Source organism: Homo sapiens, chromosome 12, assembly GCF_000001405.40.
Source record: "Homo sapiens chromosome 12, GRCh38.p14 Primary Assembly".
Taxonomy (NCBI): domain Eukaryota; kingdom Metazoa; phylum Chordata; class Mammalia; order Primates; family Hominidae; genus Homo; species Homo sapiens.
In genome coordinates, this window is record NC_000012.12 from 62,402,293 (window position 1) to 62,416,724 (window position 14,432).

At 35.6% G+C, this 14,432-nt stretch overlaps 1 protein-coding gene across 13 annotated transcripts in view; it reads left to right on the plus strand.

The window, feature by feature from the left end:
* The window catches only part of USP15 (ubiquitin specific peptidase 15), a 155,986-nt gene extending 141,889 nt beyond the window's left edge, over positions 1-14,097 (plus strand). For all 13 annotated transcript variants that reach the window (NR_147078.2, NR_147079.2, NR_147082.2 and 10 more), the window contains one exon: positions 1,901-14,097. Coding sequence is in view for 8 of the 13 variants with exons in the window: in NM_001351165.2 (NP_001338094.1) it covers positions 1,901-2,083 (183 nt within the window). In the remaining 5 variants the exon portion in view is untranslated. The remainder of the gene's footprint in view (positions 1-1,900) is intronic.
* Positions 14,098-14,432: the final 335 nt, after the last annotated feature.

The window sequence follows — 14,432 nt, forward strand, 5'->3', positions numbered from 1 at the left end:
AAAGATAGCTGTCACTCAGTCCAGAGTTTAAAAGATAGCTATCTCTGATTTATAAACCAAAGAAGATAAGTAAATTAACAATTACAGCATGATAAGTACTATTAAATACCTTACTATGGCCACTTAGAAAGGGAACTTCTGTCTCAACTCAGATTTGGGGTTTGAGGGGACAATAACCAGCACAGGGAAGTTCATGTGGTAAAGATGATGTCTGACCTGAGTCTAGTAAAAATAAGAGTAAATTAAACAAAAGGTGTTCTAAGCAAAGAAAACGGTATCTACAAAAACAAGGAGGCATGACAAAGCGTGACATTTTAAGGGAACAGCACATAATTGGATGTGACTCAAAGGAAAAGCTCTTAAAGGGACATGGGGAAGAAATTAGTCTGGAGATAAATTTAGCGCTTAGATCAAGAAAAGTGGCATTCTAGTTGTTTAGACATTTTCTTACAGACTATGAGTAGCCATTAGATTGTTAAACAAGAGAATAACATTGTTCAGTTTGTATCTTAACATTTCTCTGAGAACATCATAGAAGATAGATTGGAGACACTGAGTAAAGAAACAGAAAAGCCATACAGGAGGCTGTCACATAATTTAAGCAATTAAAATAGTAGTTAGAACAATACAAACAAGGGGAGAATGGATTTATGAGATATTTACTGGACAGAATTAATATAACTTGATAAAAGATATAATAAGGATAATAGATGTAGAGATCCAGAGAAGGAGAAGTTTAAGATGACTTTTACTTCACCATTCACCAAGATTGGGAATATAGGAAGAATAGTTGCTGTTGAAGTTTGAGATGCCTGTATGATAGCTGTGTGGAAATTTCCATTAGGTTGTTGGACTCATAAGACAGGAGTTCAGGGGTGAGAACTGATTTAGGTTATACATTTGAGTTGTCAGCCTCAGGCAGCAGTTGAAGCCATAGGTTTAAATGAGTCACCTAGTGAGAGGATTCAGGTTGAGACAATGGTGGGCTGAGGACAGAACATAGTATGTTTAAAGGTCAGGATTTAATAAGTCCACAGAAGAGCCTGAGAAGAAACCAAAGAGATAGTAGGAGATCTGAGTAGTGTTGTCACAGAAGCAAAAAATTGTTTGTTGATAGGAAAAGAAATAGTGAAGCATTAAATGCTACTGAGAGATTGACCAAAAGAACTGGAAAGGTCACCCATTTCAGTTGTTTATTAGGTTATTGACCCTGCTGAAAGCCATTTTGCTAGAATGGTTTGGGGAAAAGCTAGATTACTTTGAGTTGAGAAGTGTGCATGAGAGTGAATGATGAGTATTGACAACTCTGTTTATCACCCTGACTATGAGGAAGAGGAAGAGAGGTATATGGCAGCTAGAAGGGGAAGTAGAATGGAGAGGGACTTATGATAGGAAAAACCTTAGGTATTTTTTAATGCCAAAGAGACAAGTCCAGTGGATAAGGACTCATTGAAGATACACAGTGATGATTGATGGAACAGCATCCTTAAGATGGTAGGAAAAGTTGGACTCTACAGCAAACATGGGATGAAGTGACTAGTATTAGAAGGGAGGAATTTACCTTTTCCTTAAGAGATGGTAGGAAAGAAAGCATAGAATTCTATTTTTACGTTAGAATTGTGATACAGTTTGTGTATCACAGTTAGAACTGTGATACAGTTGCATTTATTTCTTTGTCCAAATAATTTAGAAGCACATAAAAATTTGTAATTCTAATAACGATTCTTTATTAGAAATCATCTTATATTTAATGAATTTTAGTAACTTCCATTTGACCATGCATGGTTTTTCTATTTGATTTATGCCCTCTTACCAAAATTGGTGACCAGCTAAAAATTCATAATGTATTTAACGTGATCTTTGAGAATCATAACTGTTTTAACATCCTTTGTTTTGACAGTCCAAAGCAGCATATGTACTCTTCTACCAGAGACAAGACACTTTCAGTGGAACTGGCTTTTTTCCTCTTGACCGAGAAACTAAAGGTGCTTCAGCTGCCACTGGCATCCCATTAGAAAGTGATGAAGATAGCAATGATAATGACAATGATATAGAAAATGAAAACTGTATGCACACTAACTAATGAAAGTCCTAGAAGCCATAAAAGAGACACTTTCCTGCTGGTGGTATCTATGGAAATGATGAAGTTACCCACCACATTAAAACAAAAGTCTGAGATGGGGAGTTTCAGATAACCGAATGTAAATCCTTTATCAGATTTTAACTTGTGCAGTACTTGAAGTGAAACACAATGAAAACTTTAACAGAAATTGTCTCTTAATACATTTACAGTCTTGTATTTACAAGCTAAATATATATAGGAAATCACAAATAAATCCCTTTTAAGTTTGCTGCTGTTTTGATTAATTATGTTTCCTTTAATTTTTTGGATGTGAGTTGATGACAAATGTTAAATTTGTGGATGTTGGTCATTTATTTTGCTCTAATAATACTGCAAGAAAACTATGGCTGAACTTAGTTTTTGGATAATCTAGTTCATGTGCATTAGGCTGCCGTATATACTACTATGATATTTAGCTGCAGTATCAATGTGGCATAAATACTGCGGCAGCATTCTTCGAAAACCGCATTTTCAAATTTATCCCCGTAATCAATGTGGGCCTATTAAAAAACCAAATCATGATACAAGAAACAACCTTGGAAAAGTTATTTCCCTTTGTAATACCTTTAAAAATCCAGAGTATTATATTCATTTTACTGCCACTGTGGAAACAGGTTCTAGATTTCATACTCCATCTAAAGTCATTTTTCAGTTACATGTAAGTATTATTTACTGCTATTGGGATCTATTCTTCAGATATTCAAAAACATTTTTTGCTTTAAAATGCATATCTTTAATTGGGTGTTGGTCCAAAATTAAAATTTTTGCTGTCTGTTTTTCTCTACCCCATTTTGTGGTAATTTGGCAACTTGAGCTCTCCCAATTATTGTAATATAAGGACAGACATAATAGTATTCTGTACCCATAGTAATAATTGCATCAAGCTTAGATGAGAAATTTTTTTCATATACTGGCCTTTAAATCATTAATGGACAATTGGCTATAAAGGTAGGTCTGTTAACTTTCTTTGTGTGTTCCTGATGGAATTCACCATAGCCTTACAGCTTTTCTCAGAAGGTAACTTGTTATAAGAGAAATGGCATTTGCATGTTCCAGAGTCAGAACCTGTACAGTATATAAAGCATAAACACCTTGAATTTGATTTTAGTTCACCACATTCAAGGATCCAGGATGCCAAAAATATGTGTGAACATTTGAAACATTTTTATTTGCTGCTTTTTCCCTTTGATATAGTTGAAAGAATGTATTGTAAATTGGCATACAATACTGCCTTTAATAGAAAACCTAAATGCTGGGGCACATTTCACATATCGACTACCTGAGAAATTGCTTTGTGTCCCACTGTTATTAAAGCAAAAAGTATAATGTTCTTCACTTGAACTAATCAAATACAATAGATTATAAATTGTGTATTGTAAATAAAAGTTCACTCTGTGAGTGCACATTTTGGTAAATTATTTATTTATGTTAGCATTTAAAAGTTTAAAAAAAATGCATTTGACCAGGATAAATGAGGTATGTTGATCATGGCTTTGCTTTATATCTTGATATTAAAGCTGGTTTATCATCCTGGTATTTTAAAAGCTGCTTTGGGGTTTTTTTTTTCTTTTTTTTTTTTTTAATGTAAACTAACCTCCTGCATGACAGAGGTTAAAATTTTGTCTGCACTTGAGTTCACTTGAGTTTACATTTGAAATGTGCATGTTTATTTATATAGATTTCAATAAAGCTATTCAAGGCCTTATTTAGTCTTTTATTTCTTACTCTTAATCTTTTAATAAAAATCCCCTACTTTATGGTTAGATGACTATATGCTAGACTTTTTAGTTATAAATAGTTAATACTAGAAAGGAAATTATGTCAGAGCAAAATGAATCCTACTATTAAGGACGTTTTAAAGTTGATTTTTGTCCACTTTAATATTTATTCATTAAACATATGTTTGTGTACCAATCACTGTTGTAGAGTCTGGAGATACAGCAGTAAACAAATATCCTTACCTTCACAGAGCTTACATTCTTTCTGCCATCTACCAACTAATGAACTATATTTCCATTTTTCTGAAGATTTAAAGAAAAGTCAAAGCTAAATCTTTTAAACCTATATTGTGGTCTCCATCCTAATTCTTCAGAGACCACTTTCTTTTTAATGCCTGTCATTAACTTCTGTTCCCACTAAAAGAAGTGATGTTAATAATGCCATTGAAACTGCCAAACTCAAATGTCATTTTTCAGCTGCAAGAAGTATACTTTAAAAATAGTGCAAAAGGATAATACATATTCTAATTAAAAGTAGGCATTCAGACTGGGCACGGTGGTTCATGCCTGTAATCCCAGCACTTTGGGAGACTCAGGCGGGAGGATCACTTGAGCCCAGGAGTTTGAGACCAGCCTGAGTAACATAGTGAGAACCTCATCTGTACAAATATATGTATTTTTTTTTAATTAGCTGGGTGTGCACACACCTGTGTTCCCAGCTACTGGGGAGGCTGAGGTGAGAGAATTGCTTGAGCCCAGGCAGTCAAGGCCGCAGTTAGCCGAAATCACACCCCTGCACTCCAGCCTGTGCAACATAGCAAGACTCTGTCTCAAAAAAAAAAAAGATATTCATAGGTAATACAGGGTAATGGGAATATATCTAGACTAGAATTTCTACTTCTAGCTTTGCCACTTAGCAATCATATGACTTTGAACTTAATCTTTGATAGTGTTTCTTTACCTGTAGAATAATGATGATAATAGCCAGCATTTATTGAGCACTTACTATGGACCAGGCACTATATTAAAGTGTTTATATGCATTCTCTCATTTAATCCCACAACAGCTATGAGGTAGGGATAGTTGTCATCCCCATTTTTCATATGAAGAAACCAAGATACAAAGCATTTAAGTAATATTCCCAAGCTCACACAATTGCTATGGGGTAGAGCCAATATTCTATCCTCAGATATATACTACCTCTCACTGTGTTATAGTGTCTGCCTCATAGGATTGTTGAGAGCTCAAATGAGATCATGTATTTTATGGGAAGAGCTTTGTAAACTTTATTACACACTCACTGATTTCTTCAGTCTAAATAGAAAGACATCTTGAAGTCTAATAACTTTGCTTCTAAAAGTATATTTAGCTCAGTATTCGAGCATTGAATAAGAAAGTACCCACTGGAATATTGACTAACCCATTCCCTTTTAAAAATTAATTTCATTTAATTTATATACCTTTATTACAATTTTAATTAAATGGTAAATACAATGTGACATTTTTTTCTTACCTTTTCATCTAACTTGTGTCCCCTTCTTTCCATTTCCCCAAATGCAACCCTGAATTTCAGGACTTTGTAAACTCTACTCTAGTTTTGCTTTCTGTTTGTTTGTTTGTTTGTTTAGAGACAAGGTCTCCCTCTGTCGCCCAGGCTGGAGTGCAGTGACATAATCATAGTTCACTGTAACCTTGAACTCCTGGGTTAAAGTGATCCTCCTGCCTCAGCCTTATAATTTAGTTTTAATTAACCTCCTTGAAAAAGTTGCAGCCTGGTGCTTTATTTAAATATCTTGCTTTCTCATAATCTGTGTTATTTTAGTAGTCCTGTATTTATCCTTGCTTTCCTGACAACTGGATATAAAACTACACAAAACATTGATTTGGGCACAAAGAAAATCAGTAAGTACCAAAATAGATACAACATAAAGGTGGTGGGGTTTTTTATGAACTAATTTGATTGAAGTGAGTTTATCTTATAAAATAAGCCGGGAGACTGAAATGGAGTCTCCTTCAGTGGTACACCAAAGGGAGTGTAGGGTGTAGTAGGAGCTCTCTGCCTCCGAGAGGAGGAATATATTAGACTGATAACGTTTAAGTCTGATGTATGGTGACAAGAAAAAGGCCAATTTTTTGTTTTGTTATTTTTAAGTTACCTACAGATAATGCATTTCATTATTGCCTACTTCCAACTCTCCCTATGTAGTATGTTTCTGATCTTCTGTGCTTGTGCAGTGTAGATGAGCTCACCGCTTTAATTTTTAAGATAGAAATGTGGAAAACTCTTGAATCATAGACTAGGGGAAGGAACCAGAGGTCCTCTAAAATATCAGAGGAGTGAGAAGGAAAGGAAGAGCTCCTTTCTAGGGCCATAGAATAAGAGTAGAAGTTTTTGCTCATTTTTTTTGTTTGTTTTTACTTTACAAAAAAATAAAAAATTTTTTGCTCTTTGAATAACTTAACATGAGGAATTTGGAAACAACCTCTCTTGAAAATATATTGGTATTCATTCCCAAATAATTCTTCTAAGTACCACTTGACCAGAGGATAGGGAAAGGAGGAAAAGGTGAGTGTATTTATATCCTTGCTAGTTTTTGTTATATATTCAGTTGCAGATCTATATTATATATCATTTTATTATCAGATTTTCTAGTGAGAAATATATATGATGGTTTTTTAATAATCATTTTAGGTTTGGAGGCCATTTCAATTCAATATGTATGTGTTTTACGTGTTTAATTCGTATTTACTATATATTAAAAGAATTTCCAAATAGCTCAGATAAGAAAACTTTGGTTTAAAATTGAGTTATTTTATAAGCTACATAGAATACATCAAAATTTTATAAGCTGCATAGAATAGGCTTTAAAATATCAGAATTAGGAAAATAAAATATAGATGGTAAAAATTCAAATATTTATCAAGACTTTTTTCTTCACTAATGATGGGGTAAAGAATTTTTAAATGGATAATATAAAACAGACAGTTCAAAAATTATTTTTGGAAAATATATGCATCGGGAAACATACCCCACACGGTGCCATGGTTTAATTATTCCCCAGCTCTACTTTTGGGAGCCTGGAACTTGTCAGGGTTGTGAAATAGATCTCAGACTATTAAGGACATTCAGAAACTGGCTAAGCCATTCAAGGAAAATCAGGAATTTACGTAATATATTGGACTACAGTCTCAAAGGACAGAGAGAAAATCAGTCAAATGGGTTTTGATATTTTTTTTTCCTAGAAATGTGTAGCAAATGTGATTTTACAAAGCAGCTAAAAATACAACTATCTCTCTGGAATTGAAAATGTGTAAAATAAGACCACACACTTTCAATATGCACAAAATATATTTTAAATGTTTAAGTTGTATTGGTAATTTACTATGTTCTCCTGTAGAAAATCATAATTAAAGTTGGTGCTCGTGTTGCTAAAGTTTTTTTTCTCATGTCAGGAACTTGCAGCTTGTTCTATATAGTTTGGTGAAACAAACAAAACAGTTTTTATCTGCTGTGACATTTAAGTTTGTTGTTAGCTGGAGTTAAATCTACATACATAAAAGTAAAACAATAAATATGGAAACATCCCAACAGTCTTTCCCACAATGTGTATTATTACATTATTCTCAGTAATGACACATACTTAACATTTCCCAAGCTGTTGTTTTAAACCTTAAACATCACCACATTTCTAATTTTTATTTAAAATCTTTCAGAATTCTTAGATTTTGTAACATATCAAGCACAAGTCTCTCATTAAAATTTTTTTTTAATAGTATTTGCTTTTCTTTTAAACTCCATAAAGGAGTATTCGATGTTAACAGACGTAACTCTTTAATGCTCCTCTGTTCATGATTAAGTATGCTAAGTTTTAAGTAATTTAGACTAATGTATTAAAGTGTTCACTTATGTCTAGTCATATGCATACCTACTCTCTTCTAACCTTGAGTCATTTCTATTAAATACAGCATTTAATCTTCTTTCAAGTGAGAACCATCTTTCCATTATATCAAGTGGGCAATATTTAAATTGTCTGATAAGTTCATCCAAATTAATCCCATCATGCCTGTTTAACTCATTTCCCCAAAAAGACCGCGACCTCCAGCCAGTCATTCAGTTCTTGAACTCCCTAATAGAAGCACCAAGGATTATCTATTTGTAATCACATTGTGGTGAATTATCAGTCTCCCAAGAATTATGTAAAGCAAATAGGAATTATTTTAGAGTTGCCCTTATTTTAAAAAACAAAAAAAAAGTAAAGATGGGAAAATTACTTATAGTATTTTTTTTTAATTTGAGAAAGAATTCCTGTAGGTCTCCCTTAAATAGTGACTTTGGTAAAGCTTTTTAATTTCTAGAACTCAGAGCTATATTCACTTTTGAGCTATGTACCTATTGTATAAGTTGAAGTAATACTGCAAATTCAAACAGTAAACATCATTAATCCTAGATATTTGGGTACTACCTACAGTGAGATATGGTAGGAAACATTCTACACTTACAACAACTTCCACCATAGCTAGCTCCAAACAGGTCATTAACCTCTGAATTACTGTTTTCACAACCATAAAATTATGCTGGTCTCTTGAAAGTATTAGTTTATGGGTGTGGAGAGGAAGGCTTAAATTTCATTTTTGAAGCTGTCGTTAAAAGTATATATTTTTAGCAAAGGAATTAATAACTAATAGCATTGATGAGTCAAGTTAATATTTGTTTTTGTTTTTTTTTTTTTTTAATTTTGGGCCTCACTCCTATAAAAGACTTGGAACAGAAGTCTTAGTATGATGGTAAACTTGAAAATTAAAATTTTATCAGGGATATTAGAATCCAATTATATGAGACTGCATCCTCAACAGGCACCTTGGTTGCAACACCATGAAAGACCTTGATCCAGAGGTTCTCAGCAAGCCACACCTGAATTCCTAACCCACAAAAACTGTGAGATAACAGATGTTTGTGTTTTTAGCTGCTAAGCTTTAATTTGTTTATGCAGAAATAAGGGAAAAGGACCCTAGAGATCCTTGAGGAATCCCACTTTACAGATGTAGAAGCTGAGGGCTAGAAGGAGAAAAGTCATGTACACAAAGTCTGGAGACAACTCAGATAGTCACTACATCCTCTTGCTCTTTCTCATTTTTACTCTTTAACTGGCTCCTCACTTTTTAGATGGATGGCACTGGGCTCTGGAGCAAACCATCTGTTCTGTATCTGTTAAGGCCTCTAGAGCTTCATTCATTCCTTCATCAAATATTTTTTGAGTGTCCACTATGTGCCAGGCACTATTCTAGATTCAAGATATAAAGTAATATACAAAAACAAAATCCAGTTACAAATATAATTTTTAAAGCTATTTGTGAGCATAACTTCGTAACACATTTAGAACCTTTGCCTTCAGCTGACATGAATTATGTTGTCTTTTTGTTTTTTGGTCCAGTTTCATTAGTCATTAAAGTCATTTGAATTAAAGACAATAATCCAGACTCCAGAGGTTATGGCTTTTATGTGTTTGGATACTGTCATAGTCTGCTCAGGCTGCCATAACAAACACAGACTGGGTGGCTTAAATAACAGAAATTTATATTTTCACAGTTCTGGAGGCTGGGAATCTGAGATCAGGGTACCAGTATACTGGGTTTCTGGTGAGGGTGCCTTTCCTGGCTTACAGATGGCTGCCTTCTCACTGTGTTCTTGCATGGTAGCAGAGGAGGGTCAGAGAGGAGAGCAAGCTCTGAGGCATCTCTTTTTTATAAGGGCACTAATCCCGTCATGAAGCCCTCACCCTCATGACCTCATCTAAACCTAATTATCTCCTAAAGACTTCCTCTCCAAATACTATTTAAGGCTTCAACCTGAATTTGGAGGTGACACAGTTGAGCCCATAGCAGATATATTTAGTAACAACTGTGGGTACAGGCATGCCTCAGATATTGCAGGTTCGGTTCCCAGCCACCATAAATATTTAAATAAAGTGAGTCACAAATTTTTTGGTTTCCCAGTGCATATAAAAGGCATATTTACCCTATACTGTAGTCTATTAACTGCAATAACATTGTGCCTAAAAAAGATGTACATGCCTTAATTTTCAAACTATTGCCAAAAAATGCTAAATAACCATCAGAGCCTTCAGCAAGTAGTAATGTTTTTGCTGATGGACAGTCTTGCCTCATTTTGATAGATACTCACCAGGATGGTGGTTGCTGAAGGTTAGGGTGGCCGTGGCAATTTTTTACAATAAGACAGTAGTGAAGTTTGCTTCATCAATTGACTCTTCCTTTTACAAGAGATTTCTCTGGCATGCAGTGCTATTTGATAATATTTGATACCCACAGTAGAACTTCTTTCCGAACTTCTTTCACAATTGGAGTTAATCTTCTAAAGCCCCGCCACTGCTTCATCAACTAAGTTTATGGAATATTCTAAATCCTTTGTTGTCTTTTCAACAATGTTCACAGCATCTTCACCAGGAGAAGACTTTCCCCCCTTCTTTTCACAGATGTTGAGATTGTCAAGAAACTACTTTCCTTGCCCACCCATAAGAAGCAACTTATCATCTGTTCAAGTTTTATCATAAGATTGCAGCAATCCAGACACATCTTCAGGCTCCACTTGTAGTTCTCTTGCTATTTTCACCGCATCTGCAGTTACTGCCGCCACTGAGGTTTTGAACTTCTCAAAGTCATGAAAGTTGTAATTAACTTCTTTCAAACTCTTGTTAATGTTGATATTTTGACTCCCATGAATCACAAATATTCTGAATGAATGGCATCCAGAATAGCAAATCCTTTTCAGAAGGTTTTTATTTTGCCCAGATCCATCAGAGGAATCACTATCTATGAAAGCTTTTGCCTTATAAAATGTATTTCTTGGATGATAAGACTTGAAAGCTGAAGTTATTCTTTGATCTATGGCTGCAGAATGGATGTTGTGTTAGCAGGCAGAAAAACACTAATCTCATACATCTCCATAGAGCTCTTGGGTGACCAGGTGCACTTGTCAATGAGCAGTAATATTTTGAAAGGAATCTTTTTCTGAGCAATAGATCTCCGCAGTGGGCTTAAAATATTTAGTAAACCTTCCTATAAACGGATGTGCTACCATCCAGGCTTTATGGTTCCTTTTATAGAGCAAAAACATTATATTTAGTTTAATTTTAAGGACCCTAGGATTTTTGGAATGATAAATGAACATTAGTTAGCATTGCATTGGCCCCTAACAAGAAATCAGTCTCTCGTTTGAAGCCAAGCATCAACTTTTCTCTAGCTATGAAAGTCCTGGATGACATCTTCCAACATAAGACTTTCATCTACATTGAAAGTTTGTTTTTAGTGTAACTACCTTCATCAATGATCTTAGCTAGATCTTCTGGATAACTTGCTGTAGTTTCTACTTTAGCAGTTGCTGCTTCACCTTATGCTTGTCTGTTGTGGAGACAGCTTGTTTCCTTAAACTCCATGAATCAACCACTGCTAGCTTCAGACTTTTCTTCTGCAGCTTCCTTACCTTAGCCTCCATAGAATTGAAGAGAGAGGGCCTTGCTCTGCGTTAGGCTTTGGCTTAAGATAGTGTTGTGGCTGATTTGATCTATTAAAAAAAAAAAAACTCAGGCTTTCTCTATACCACTTTTCTTATGATTCATGTGTTCACTTGAGTAGCACTTTTAATTTCAGGAACTCTTCCTTTGGATATACAACTTGGCTGTTTGGCTCAAGAGGCCTAGCTTTCAGCTTGCCTTGGCTTTCAACATGCTTTCCTCACTAAGCTCCAATCATTTATAGCATTTGATTGAGAGAGAGAGAGAGATGTACAGCTCTTCACCTGAACATTTAGAGGCCATTGGATGGTTATTAACTGGCCTGGTTTTAATAGTGTTATGTCTCAGGGAATAGGGAGGCACATGGAGAGGGAGAGAGATGGGGAATGGCCAGTGGAGCAGTTGGAACACACACGTCTGTGCCCTCAAACAAAACAGTAACATCAAAGATTACTGATCACAGATCACCGTAACAGATACAATAATAATGAAGACATTTGAAATGTGAGAAGTACCAAGATATGACACACACACAGTAAGCACATTCTGTTAGGAAAATAACACCTATAGATGTGCTCAATGTAGGCTTGCCACAAGCCTTGTTTGTAAAAAAACAAAAACAATTATCTTCAAAGCATGATAATAAAGTGAAGCAGAATAAAACAAGGTATGCCTGGTTTTTGTTTTGTTTTGTTTTGAGACAAGGTCTTTCTCTGTCACCCAGGCTGGAGTGCAGTGGCACAATCTCATCTCACTGCAGCCTCCAGCCTCTGGGCTCAAGTGGTCCTCCCACCTCAGCCTCCGAAGTAGCTGGGTCTACAGGCATGTGCCACCACACCACACCTGGCTAATTTTTGTAGAGACCAGGTTTCACCATGTTACCCAGGCTGGTTTTGAAGTCTTGAACTCAGGCGATCCATCCACCTCGGCCTCCCAAAGTGCTGGGATTACAGGCATGAACCACAGCACCTGGCCATGTATTTTCATTTAACCAGTACTAAATAACTACATGTCTTTGGCAGCCTATAATGTAGCATCCCATTTTTAAAAATAGAAGTGTGTATTCAGGGTGCACTCAATAGGATTACATCTGGCTGGCAGTCCCTTCCTACTTCAGTCCATTATCCTGCTACCAGAATGATCTTCATGGTTTCATTTAAAAAAAAAAAAAATGAGATCCTGTTTCTGTCTTAAAGTTCTCTTCTAATTCCTTGTATTAATCAGGATTCTCCAGAGAAACAAGACCAATAGGATGCATATGTGTATACACATATATGTATAGCTCTCTCCCTCATATATACACATATCATGTATATACATATATATCATATATGTACATATATATATATATATATGAGGGAGAGAAAGATTTATAAGGAATTAGTTCATGCACTTAGGCTGAGAAGTCTCATGATCTTCAGTCAGCAGGCTGGAGACCCAGGAATGCCAATGGTGTAGTTCAAGTCCGAGTCCAAAGGGTTGAGAACCAGGAAAACCAATGATAAAAGTTCCAGTCCACAAGCTACCTGGCTAAAGACCCAGGAAGACTGAATGTTTCAGTTTTAGTGCAAAGGCAGGAAAAGACTGATGTCCCAGTTCAATCAGGCAAGAGAAATTATCCTTACTTGAGCCTTTTTTGTTCTATTCAGGCCTTCAATTCATGAGAGCCACCAACATTAGAGAGGGCAATCTGCCTTACTCAGTCTACTGACTTAAATGTTAATCTCATCCAAAAACACCCTCATAGATATGCCCAGAATAATGTTTGACCACATATCTGGGCACCCTGTGGCCCAGTCAACACATTAAATAAACCATCACATCCCTTCATGTAGAAAAGAGTGGTTTGGACCATAGGCTCAGGAGTTAAACCACCTCTGAGCCTACCACTTTTGTGCAACTCACCTCACCTCTCTGCCTTTCACCTCTCTGTAAACTAGAGCAGCTCCCGAATGTCCATCTAGGAAGGCTTGGGGTGAGCAACCTGATTAGAAGGGAACAATGTGACTTAAAACTGCATATTTGCTTAGCAAACCTATGACTTTTCTCAGAATATACAGTTTGCTTGTGATGGAGGGCTATTAATATTTATAAGGAAACCAAATCCCCATTCACTTAAGCCATCCACTCCTACCACTGTAATTGAATATTACCTACCTTTCAGAATAATTGCAAGGTTTTGTGTCTTGATCATTATGAAAAATGTGGCAGGTATTATTACTAATAAAGAAGTACCCAACTATGGGAATGATTGTTCCTTCCTTATGAATGAGAGCAGCTCTCTGTTCAATACGATTCATACTCAAGTTCTAATAAACTTTCTTTAGCAAGAGAGCAAAGAGTATGGTACAGTCAGTCCACCCAGGTTGCCTGTTAACCTGGTGCTTGAAGGAAAAAAAGTAAGAATTTGCCCTCATCTAATTCCTCACTTGCCCTCAAACATGTCATACTACTTGACAATGGGGCTTTCCCACATTTGTCCCACATTTGCATGGTCTGCCTTATCTCTTACCTGGCGAACTCCTACACTCCTTCAAGACTTGCTCCAAAATGCACTTGCTAGATCTTCTGACATCAACTGCCACCTTGGGCTATAAGTTACGTGTGTCTCTTCCCCCACTAGACAATTACCTGATGGAAGAATATTGTTCTTAAGATGTTAAGATGGTGTATGTGTGGCATAGTATTTGTTCCTAAATGTAAAAGTTATTAAACAAGTTTTCTGAAAGTCTGAAGCTTTATTGTGTTTATTGTGATTGTGTTGTATTCCTGACATGTTGCTGGCTACATATTTTAACAGCTTTAAAAGTAATTTACCTTATGAATGTGCACTAAAAACGTACATTTTAGATATACTAACATTTTAAGTTCGGTATTTATGAATTTGGAATATTCAAGATTAAATGTAGAAAATTTATATTTCATTTATATTTTTCTAAAGAAGTTTTAATTGTAAGGAATTCTTTTTTCCAGTAAGGAAGATACAGTTGCTATCTCTTGCTCCAGTTGGAGGGCATCCTGAATTCCCATTTGTTCAGACGCTTTTCACAACTTGGAGCTTCT